Raw genomic sequence first — 12,038 nt, 5'->3', positions numbered from 1 at the left:
ACCAGTAGGATATCCCAGTTTGCTTGAGCCTGAGGCAGTTCCTTCGATGAGGGACTTTAGTAAAACTAAGAAAGCCCTGGGTAGACCAGGACATGAGGGTCACTCTTCCATCCCAGATGCTCTCCTATACGGATTTCCTTCCTGACACTTCCTCTCTTCAGCCTGTTCCAGTACCTGGCACATAGTAAGTGTACAAGACATATTTGTTACATGAATGAATGAATGAATTAACAAGGTAATAGACTACTTCCCCCCCACCCCCCACTGTATTGAGTTATACTCGAAAAATAAATATTGCATGTATTTATATAAAAGTAGAACTACCATATGATCCAGCAATCCCACCATATACATATACAACATGTACAATACACTGCTTTGATATATGTACATCTTGTGAAATGATTACCACAATCAAGCTAATTAACATACCCATCATCACCTCACATGATTACCTTTTTTTATGTTGTGAGAACATTTAAGATAAACTCTTTTTAGCATGTTTCTTTCTTTCTTTCTTTTTTCTTTGAGATGGAGCAACTCTTGTTGCCCAGGCTGGAGTGCAGTGGTGCAATCTCGGCTCACTGCAACCTCTGCCTCCTGGGTTCAAGCAATTATCCTGCCTCAGCCTCCTGAGTAGCTGGGATTACAGGCTAATTTTGTATTTTTAGTAGAGACGGGGTTTCCCCATGTTGGTCAGGCTGGTCTTGAACTCCTGACTTCAGGTGATCTGCTTGCCTTGGCCTCCCAAAGTACTGGGATTACAGTCGTGAGCCACTGCTCCCAGCCTTCTTTTACCATATTTCAAGTATATAATACAGTGTTACTACCTATAGTCACCATGCTGTACATTAGGTCTCCAGAACTTGTTCATCCTGCATAACTAAAACTTTATACCTGCCTGCTGCTGGGAGTTGCTTGGAGGTTGGCAGCTTGGGGCTGAAGGCTCGCAGATGGAGCGGTCATGTCCCACAAACAAATTTACTATTCCGACAAATACGACAACGAGGAGTTTGAGTCTCAGTTAGTGCCGGCGCAGGGGCAATAGTGAGATTGTGAGAACATTTAAGACCAACTCTTTTAGCATTTTTTCTTTCTTTCCTTTTTTTTTTTTTTTGAGATGGATTTTCACTCTTGTTGCCCAGGCTGGAGTGCAATGGCATGATCTTGGCTAACTGCAACCTCCGCCTCCCGGGTTCAAGCGATTTCCCTGCCTCAGCCTTCCAAGTAGCTGGGGTTACAGGCGTGCACCACCATGCCTGGCTAATTTTGTATTTTTAGTAGAGATAGGGTTTCACTGTGTTGGTCAGGCTGGTCTCGAACTCCTGACCTCAGGTGATCTGCCTGCCTCAGCCTCCCAGAGTGCTGGGATTACAGGCATGAGGCACCGCACCTGTCCACGAGGTTGACTTTTTTAGATTCCACACGTGAGTGAGATCATGCAGTAATTGTCTTTTTGTGACTGGCTTATTTCACTTCGCATAATGTCCTCCAATTCATCCATGATGTCATATATGGCAGAATGTCTTTCTTTTTAAAGACCGAATAATATTCCACTGTAGATAAACCACAATTTTTTTGTCTGTTCATCCATTGGTGGACACTTAAATTGTTTCCATATCTTGGCTACTCTGAATAATGCTACAATGAACGTGGGGGGTGCAGATGTCTCTTGGAGATACTGATTTGATTTTGTTTGGATTGTGAACTCAAAGTATTTGAGATAGGTCTCCATCCATTTAGAAAGTTTATTTTGCCAAGGTTGAGAACACGCCTGTGACAGCCTTAGGAGGTCCTGATGACATTTGCCGAAGGTGGTCAGGGTGCAGCTTGTTTTTATACACTTTAGGGAGACATGAGACATCAATCAAGATGTGTAAGATACAATGGCTTGGTCTGGAAAGGCAGGGCAACTTGAAGTGGCAGCGGCGTGGGCGGGGGGGTGGGGAGGGGGCCGGTTTCCAGGTTATAGGTAGGTAAGAGACAAATGGTTGCATACTTTTCAGTCTTTTTTTTTTTTTTTTTTTTTTTTTTTGAGATTAAGTCTCGCTCTGTCGCCCAGGTTGGAGTGCAGTGGTGCGATCTCGGCTCACTGCAAGCTCCGCCTCCAGGGCTCATGCCATTCTCCTGCCTCAGCCTCCTGAGTAGCTGGGACTACAGGCACCCGCCACCACGCCTGGCTAATTTTTTGTATTTTTACTAGAGACGGGGTTTCACCGTGTTAGCCAGGATGGTCTCGATCTCCTGATCTTGTGATCCGCGCACCTCAGCCTCCCAAAGTGCTGGGATTACAGGCGTGAGCCACTGCACCCGGCTACTTTTGAGTCTTTGATTAGCCTTTCACTGAATACACAGTTTACACGTGAGAGGGAGGTAGAGGAATAGTCACTTAAACCTTAGTCTGGGTCCATAAATCTGCATTTTTACATGAACAATAGGGCAGAGGAAGCAATCAGATATGCATTTCTCTCAGGCGAGCGGAGGGATGACTTTCTGTCCCGCATCTGTAAAGATAAGCTGTCCATTTACATTGCCAAGGTGAAATTCAACAGAACTGTTTTAGGGTAAATATCTTGAGTCCCACAAAGAATTTCCTTGTGGGCAAATTTTGAGGGAGGTATGTTGCTTTTTAAATCTTGGTAGCTATTGGCCGGGTGCGGTGGCTCACGCCTGTAATCCCAGCACTTTGGGAGGCCAAGGCAGGCAGATCACGAGGTCAGGAGTTCGAGACCAGCCTGACCAGCATGCTGAAACCCCATCTCTACTAAAAACAAAAAAAATTAGCCAGGCGTGGTGGTGCGCGCCTGTAATCCCAGCTACTCAGGAGGCTGAGGCAGGAGAATCACTTGAACCTGGGAGGTGGAGGTTGCAGTGAGCCGAGACTGAGCCACTGCACTCCAGCCTGGGCGACAGAGGGAGACCCCGTCTAAAACAAACAAACAAACAAACAAACAAACAATTTGGTAGCTATCTTATTTGGGAATGAAATGGGAGGCTGGTTTGCCTGATGTAGTTCTCAACCTGACTTTTCCCTTTGGCTTTGTGATTTTGGGGTCTCGAGATTTATTTTCCTTTCACAGTATATGTTCCAAGAAGTGGGATTGCTGGATCATATGGTAGTTCTACTTTTATTTATTTATTTATTTTAGAGACAAGATCTTGCTCTGTCACCCAGGCTGGAGTGCAGTGGCACAATCATAGCTCACTGCAGCCTCCAATTCCTGGGCTCAAGCCATCCTCCTGCCTCAGCCTGTCAAGTCACTGGGACTACAGGCATCAATCACCATGCTCAGCTCACAGGTTTTTTTTTTTTGTTTCTTTTTTTGTTTTTTGTGACGGAGTCTTCCTCTGTTGCCCAGACTGCAGTGCAGTGGAGTGATCTCAGCTCACTGCAACCTCCACCTCCCGGGTTCAAGTGATTCTCCTGCCTCAGCCTCCTGAGTAGCGGGGATTACAGGCACCTGCCACCATGCCTGGCTAATTTTTCTACTTTTAGTAGAGACGGGGAGTTTCACCATGTTGGCCAGGCTGGTCTCAATCTCCTGACCTCAAGTGATCCGCCCGCCTCGGCCTCCCAAAGTGCTGGGATTACAGGTGTAAGCCACCGTGCCCGGCTCATAGTTCTATTTTTAATTTTTTGAGGAACCACAGGAAGTGAGTAGGGTCTCTGCCTCAATCCACACCGGATGGAGTTTTCATTCTCTTCTTTCATGCCTGGCTTCTAGAGATGTCGTCACTCTTCCCAGGAGAGGAGACATCCCCTCCTTTCTCAACCTGGAAAAGAAGGACTCTTTATTATTCTTTTTTTGTGGAGGGGAGGTCCCTTGATGTGAGATTTTGCACACTGATATCAAGGAAGGGTCCTCTTTGCAGTTTTACTCTATCAAGAAGGGCCCTTTACCTCTTTAGTCAATACTTTTGAAGAGATTCATTCATTCAATTTGTTCAATGAGTATTTATTGAGCACCTACTGTGTGCAGGCACTGTTCTAGGCAATGAGGGGATGGCTGTGAGCAAATCAAAAGATCCCTGCTGAGCTGACACTTTCAGCAAAGGGGGATGACCTTAAACCAAAACCAGAGTAAGTACGTGATGCATTGTTAAGAAGGGAATAAGGGGGCCGGGTGCAGTGGCTCACACCTGTAATCCCAGCACTTTGGGAGGCTGAGGCGGGTGAATCCCCTGAGGTTGGGAGTTTGAGACCAGCCTGACCAACATGGAGAAACCCCATCTCTACTAAAAATACAAAATCAGCAGGGTGTGGTGGCGCATGCCTGTAATCCCAGCTGCTCGGGAGGCTGAGGCAGGAGAATCGCTTGAACATGGGAGATGGAGGTTTCAGTGAGCCAAGATTGAGCCATTGCACTCCAGAAAAGAAGGGAATAAGGAGAAAAGAAACAGGATGGAGACTCGGGGGTGCTGGAGTGTGTTGTGGGGGCACATTGCTCTTTCCAATAAAGTGGGTTCAAGGAAAGGCCCTCACTGAGAAGCTAAGACTTGAGGGGTGGGGTTCTTGTTACAGATTCACGACTAGCTCATCTCAGGTTGACCTTGTTGCAATGCCTGGGGAGGTGTATGCTGCTATTTCTGCTTTAACTGTAGGGAAACTGGGGCTCAGTGAAGCGAGTTGGGGCAGAACCAGGATGAAACCCAGAACTCTAGGACTTGAGTTCCTGCCCAGTGAGTATGCGTGTGGATAAGTGTGTGATTATGTGTCTGTGTGTGCCTTGTGTGTGTCTGCATGAGCATGTGTGTGTTAGAGTGAATGTGCATAAGTGTGTGCACGTGTCCATGTGTGAGTGTGCAACTTAGTGCTTGCGTGCATACTTGTGTGTGCATCCACCTATGTGTCTACAAGTGTGTGCGATGAGTGTCTGAGTGTGCACAGGTGTGACTGAGCGTGTGTGCATAAGCATGTGTGAATATGTGTGCGAGTGTGAATATGTGTGTGCATGTGTGTATGCATGTGTGCATAGGTGTGTGGGTGTGCATGAATGAGGGTGTGCTTGTTTTTCAGCATGTGTGTCCATGTGTGGGTGTGTTTGAATGCTTACATGTGAGTGTGTAGCTGTGTGTGTGTGCATATGTATTTTGCATACATATGTATGTGCATTTGTGTGTGTATTAGCGTGTGCATGAGTGACTGAGTCTGCACATGTGTGAGACTGTGTGAGTATGTACATAAGTTTAAGTGTGTGCATGAGTGTTTGTATTCGTGCATGTGTGTCCGTGTGTAAGAGTGTGTGTGCATGCATGCAAATGAGTTTTTGTGTGTGCATAAGTGTGAGAGAGTGTGCATGAGTGTTTGTGTGTGTGCATGTGTGGGTAAATATGTTTTCCCTCCTCTTCCTCTGGGGCAGCAGGGGTCCTCCTTTGCCGCTCGTGGCAAAATATCCTGCTTTCCTCAGTTGGGGAGGAGAGCCCTTAGCTTGTTCTTTCTAGGGTAAGTAGCAAGACAAAGGAGCAGTTGGTGCCAACATCCCCCCAAGGACCTCCAGCAGTCCCTGTGGGGACAGGCCAGGCCAGTGGGGCTGAATGGGGCCAGGGGACTCAGCCCATTGTCCAAAGTGGCTCAGCCCTTCCTGGGTGGGAGAGAGGAGGTGGGCCGGGGCCATCCTGGGCTGGAGGGCCCCACCCTGTCCCTCTCCTCATCTCTGCCTGGGATGAGAGGTCCAGGGGGCTGCCCTGGCTGGTCTGGCCACATACCTGAGTGGAGCTGGGCCTCCCACCTGTCAAGGAAACAAACACTGCGGTGCAGGGAGGCAGCCTGCCTGATTGTCCCCACCCTCCCTGGACCTTTCATCCCACCCTGAACAATCCCATCTGCTTCATTTAACCCTTTGTCAGACCTGTTTTGGTGCACTTGTCCTAGCACTTGCAGCTCTGCCAACCCTGTCCCCAACACACAGTGAATCTGAGCCGGGCTTCTCATCCTTATCCTGGCTCTGATCCACCCCCTCTCAGTGACTCTGAACCCACATTGCCCCCTTCCCCTAATAATAAAAAGAATTACACTCTGGGGTAAGTGCTATTCTAGAGCAAGTCATGATAATGATAATAGCTAACAGGGAACACTAACATGTACCAGGCACTCTTTTAAGCTCTTTACAGATATGAATTCATTAAATCCTCATAACAACTTGGAGGACAATAGGAGGTACGTCCTATTATCATTTCCATTTTGCAGAAAAGGAAACCAAGGCGCAGTTAGTTATGCAACCTGTCCAAGGGCACATAGCTGCTATGTGGTAGGGCTGGGCTTTGACCCTGGGCAGACTGGGTCTGTAAGACCCTAGTGATTCTGACCCAGCTCCCCTGTGATCTGAGACATCCTCTTTCTCAGTGACTCCCAGTATTGAGAGAACGAGGCAAAGAGATGAGGTAGGGAGGAAGGCAGGTGCTGCCTATCAGACGATGAGCTGATGCAGGAGCTAACATTAATTATTAGCTATTAGCTAAAAAGTCTAATAGTCTTTTTAGACTGGGATCCATGGTAAGAAATACATTGCACATTGTGTACCAGTGTGCAATGTATTGTGTACCAGTGTACCAGTACCATCCTACCATTGTGACCAGTTTTGCTTATAGATGCATGATGAAAATACTTTTTTCTTTTTTCTTTTCTTTTTTTTTTTTTTTGAGAAGATGTTTCACTCTTGTTGCCCAGGCTGGAGCGCAATGGCGCGATCTCGGCTCACTGTAACCTCTGCCTCCTGGGTTCAAGCAATTCTCCTGCCTCAGCCTCCCGAGTAGCTGGGATTACCGGTGCCCACCACCATGCCTGGCTAATTTTTTGTATTTTTAGTAGAAATGGGGTTTCACCATGTTGGCCAGGCTGGTCTTAAACTCCTGACCTCAGGTAATCCACCCACCTCAGCGTCCCAAACTGTTGGGATTACAGGCGTGAGCCACCGTGCCCAGCCCCTGATGCCTTTTAATTCTATTATATTCTCTTATTTATTTATTTATTTTGGATGCTGCTCTCAACCCACTGAACAGGTTCGTTATCTGCCTGTCTCCATGGCAACAACCCTGTATGCTACAACCTGGACCAATCCCACTGAAGCGAGGTTTCTCAATCCCAGCACAAATGTCAATGGATTTGGGTCTCATAATCCTTTGGGGAGGTAGGGTGGGCTGTCCCATATATTGGTCAAGTGCTAAACAGTATCCCAGGTTCCCTACAACGGGATGGCAGCAGCACTCCCACCAACCAAAAATGTCTTCAGACATTGCCAAATGCAGCCTGTTGCAGTACCTGGCACATAGTAGTTGTGCAATAAATATGTGTTGCATGAATGAAGGGGGCAAATAGAGTCACGGAGGGCCATGAAAGGAGGGTTCTCATGCTGGTATGCCTGATAACAACTATCACAAAAGATTCCAAAAGCCACAACCTTGCACAAAGGCCACCTCAACCTTACGCAAAAAATACTCCTGCAGGCCGGGCACGGTGGCTCACACCTGTAATCCCAGCAGTGTGGGAGGCTGAGGCAGGAGGATCCCTTGAACCCAAGACGCTGTCTGTCTTTTTTTTTTTCCTTGAGATGGAGTCTTGCTCTGTTGCCCAGTCTGGAACTGGAGTGCAATGGCGTGATCTCCGCTCACAGCAACCTCCGCCTCCTGGGTTCACCGCCATTCTCCTGCCTCAGCCTCCCGAGTAGCTGGGATTACAGACACGCACCACCACACCCGGCTAATTTTTTGTATTTTTAGTAGAGATGGGGTTTCCCCATGTTGGCCAGGCTGGTCTTGAACTCCTGATCTCGTGATCCATCCGCCTCAGCCTCCCAAAGTGCTGGGATTACAGGCCTGAGCCACCGCACCCAGCCTGCTCTCTCTCTCTTTTTTTTTTTTTTGAAATGGAGTCTTGCTCTGTCACCCAGGCTGGAGTACAGTGGCATGATCTCAGCTCACTGTAACCTCCACCTCCCGGGTTCAAGTGGTTCTCCTGCCTCAGCCTCCTGAATAGCTGGGACTACAGGCTCCCGCCACCATGCCTGGCTAATTTTTGTGTTTTCAGTAGAGACAGTGTTTCACCATATTGGCCAGGCTGGTCTCAAACTCTGACCTTGTGATCTGCCCGCCTCAGCCTCCCAAAGTGCTGGGATTAAGGCATGAGCCACCGTGCCCAGCCTTCCAAGACGCTGTCTCTACAGAAAAGGTGTTATCCTTGTTATCGATCTTTGTAGCCAAGGACAAATATTTCAAAACTATTATGCAATTCTCCTCAATTTTTCCTCTAAAAAGCTTTGTCTTCCTGAATAGGCACGTATATTACAGTGGCATGCATATTCCCACTGCAATGTTCTATTCCCAAATGAACATATTTTCCTTTAGAGAGTCTGTCTCTGTTTGCTATTTAGGTTGACAGGGGTTTGGCTAGTTAGTCTAAGAAACTGGGATTGCTCTATCTTATCATAAATTCCTCTCCTCCCTGGAGCCCTAGGAAGCTGGCTTCTTCCATCTCAGAAGTTTGTAGGGAGTGAAATAATCTATCAGGAGTATGTGGATAATTTAGTGCCATTCAGTAGGACCGTGTGTGTGTGTGTTTGTGTGTATTTTCTTGGTGAGGGCTGTAGGTATGAAAATACACATCCAATAAAAGTTTCCCCAAAATTTCAGTCATTCACATTTTTACATCCCATGGTCTTTTTCCTTTTTTGTTTTTTTTTTTCTCTCTTCTACATATGGGTAGCCCAGTTATCTCAGCACCACTTATTGAATAGGGAGTCCTTTCCCCATTGCTTGTTTTTGTCAGTTTTGTTGAAGATCAGATGGTTGTAGGTATGTGGCATTATTTCTGGGCTCTCTATTGTGTTCTATTGGTCTATATGTCTATTTTTGTACCAGTACCATGCTGTTTTGGTTACTATAGCCTTGTAGTATAGTTTGAAGTCATAGCCTCTGATCTTGAGGACTTTATTTGCTTATTTATTCATCCATTTTTGAGATGGAGCCTGGCTCTCTCACCCAGGCTGGAGTGCAGTGGCATGATCTCGGCTCACTGCAACCTCTGCCTCCCAGGTTCAAGTGATTCTTCTGCCTCAGCCTCCCAAGTAGCTGGGATTACCCAGCTAATTTTTGTATTTTTATGGAGATGGGGTTTCACGTTGGCCAGGCTGGTCTGGAACTTCTGACCTCACGTGATCCACCCACCTTAGCCTCCCAAAATGCTGGGATTACAGGCATCAGCCACGGTGCCTGGCCAATCTTGAGGACTTTATAGCCTCTTCTTTGTCCTTGTAACATCATCTCCTTAGTCTTTGAGCACTTCCTTGCTTTCTGGCAGAATTATCTCTTAATAATGCTAACCTGGTCACAACCCTCACCCGTTGCTTCAAATCCTCCGTGACTTTCCATTGCACTTCCAAGAAAATCTAAACTTCATACATCACTGGTTTACAACCCTTCCTCCTCTTTCTCCTCATTAGATCTGACCTCTGCTTACCCAGCTGGTTTCGCCTTACACTCCAGCCAGAAAGCACTCCAGTGCTTTCTCAATGCACTCTGGCCACCCTGGCCTTCTTGAAATTTCTCGAGTGGGTCAGGTTTATTCCAGCCTCTGGGCTTTTGCATATATAGTTCCCTCCATCACAAGCACATTTCCCCTGTGATAAGTACCTTCTCATCTCTCAGGGCCCTCCTTAAATATTACCTCCTATGAGAAGTCTTCCCTGATGACTCTATGGAAAATTATGCTTCTCTCCCATTGGTAGAGTGACTTCAAAATTCCCTTCACTCTCTGCAAGGACATTAATTATTTATCTGTTGGATGAATCGTTGTCTGCTTTCTCCACTAGGATGTAAACTTTTTTTTTTATACTTTAAGTTCTGGGGTACATGTGCAGAACGTGCAGGTTAACAAACATACGTATACATGTGCCATGGTGGTTTGCTGCACCCATCAACCCATCATCTACATTAGGTATTTCTCCTAATGTTATACCTCCCCTATAGCCCCCCAACCCCCAACAGGCCCCAGTGTGTGATGTTCCCCTACCTGTGTCCATGTGTTCTCATTGTTCAACTCCCACTTATGAGTGAGAACATGCAGTATTTGGTTTTCTGTTCTGGACATAAACTTTTTGAGGGAGTAAAGACTTGTCTTGTTCCTCACTCTGTGCCCCAAACTTGGAATTGTTGCCAAAACACCAGGGGTCCAGGCTAGGTCCTGCTGCTCACCACACAGAAAGTCAATCACTGAGACAACGATTATTACCAAGGAAGAAGACTTTAATCTCCTTGGCTGCAGTGAGAAAATGGGAGCTCAGTCTTAAATCCATCTCCCTGACCAACTAAAATTACAGGTTTATATAGCAGGGAAGAAATGTGACTACGTGTAGTAAAACAGGAAATCAAGAGGGGTCAGGAAGCAATCATGAGGAATGAGGGGTCTGACATCTCATTGTCTGGATATGATGATCTGCTGAGTTTCTTTTCTTTGATACTTTTTGAGAGGACTGGGGGTCCTTTAATGAGGAAGGAACTCAGATAAAACAAATGTAAGTTTCCCACAGAATGGGAGAAAATATTTGTAAACTATGCACCTGACAAAAGTCTAATATCCAGCATCTATAGAGAACTTAAGTAAATTTACAAGAGAAAAACAAACAACACCATTAAAAAGTGGGCAAAGGCCGGGCACGGTGGCTCACAACTGCAATCCCAGCACTTTGGGAGGCCAAGGCGGGCAGATCACTATGTCAGGAGTTCGAGACCAGCCTGACCAACATGGTGAAACCCTGTCTCTACTAAAAATACAAAAATTAGCCGGGCACGGTGGTGCACGCCTGTAATCCCAGCTACTCAGGAGGCTGAGGCAGGAGAATCACTTGAACCTGGGAGGCGGAGGTTGCTGTGAGGCGCGATCACTACTGCACTCCAGCCTGGTCGACAGAGTGAGACACTGTATCAAAAAAAAAAAACCAAAAAACAAAAAAAACAGACACTTTTTGAAAGAAGAGATACATGTAGCCAAGAAGCATATGAAAAAAATGCTCACTATCACTGATCATTAAAGAAATGCAAATCAAAACCACAATGAGATAGCATCTCACCATAGTCAGAATGGCTATTATTAAAAAGTCAAAAAATAACAGATGCTGGCAAGGTTGTGGAGAAAATTGAACATTTATACACTGTTGGTGGGAGTGTAAATTAGTTCAACTATTGTGGAAAGCAGTGTGGCAATTCCTCAAAGAGCTAAAAGTAGAACTACCATTTGACCCAGCAATCTCATTATTGGGTATATACCCAGAGAAATATAAATCATTCTACCATAAAGACATATACACGTGAATGTTCATTGCAGCACTATTCCCAATAGCAAAGACAATGGAATCAACCTAAACGCCCATCAATGACAGATTGGATAAAGCAAATGTGATACATATACACCATGGAATACTATGCAGCCATAAAAAAGAACAAGATCATTGCTTTTGCGGGAACATGGATGGGGCTGGAGGCCATTATCCTTAGCAAACTAACCCAGGAACAGAAAACCAAATATTGCATGTTCTCACTTAGAAGTGGGAGCTAAATGATGATAACTCATGAACACAAAGAAGGGAATAAAAAACACTGGGGTCTACTTCATGGTAAGCGTTAGGAGGAGAGAGAGGAGCAGAAAAAATAACTATTGGGTACTAGGCTTCATACCTGGGTGATAAAATCATTTGTACAACAAACCCCGTGACATGAGATTACCTATATAACAAACCTTCACACGTAGCCCCAAACCTAAAATAGTTAAACAATAACAAATGTCAGTTTCAAGTATTTAAATAGGTATATAAATACTGTCTATGAGACTATCGGGTTGGTTTCAGAATCAGCTGTCGTATAAAAGGTGCTCAAGACATATTTGCTGGTTGGATGAATGAGTGACTGAGGGTCTGGAATAAATATTAAATAAATGAAATGGTAAATGAACGAGTCACTATGCAGAGATTCCTATGGAAAGAAGAGCAAGTCCAGAAGAAATTTTTTTTTTATGTTTTTCGTTCTACTTCCTGCTGGGATAACCAACTTGG

At 45.7% G+C, this 12,038-nt stretch overlaps 1 protein-coding gene across 2 annotated transcripts in view; it reads left to right on the top strand.

Annotated features, from left to right (window-relative positions):
* Positions 1-12,038, top strand: part of MUC16 (mucin 16, cell surface associated) — a gene marked incomplete in the record, with an annotated part of 216,908 nt that overhangs the window by 59,591 nt on the left and 145,279 nt on the right.

This window comes from Homo sapiens, chromosome 19 (genome assembly GCF_000001405.40).
Source record: "Homo sapiens chromosome 19, GRCh38.p14 Primary Assembly".
Taxonomy (NCBI): domain Eukaryota; kingdom Metazoa; phylum Chordata; class Mammalia; order Primates; family Hominidae; genus Homo; species Homo sapiens.
Note: the sequence above shows the minus strand (reverse complement) of the source record. Positions and strands in the feature narration are given on the sequence as shown.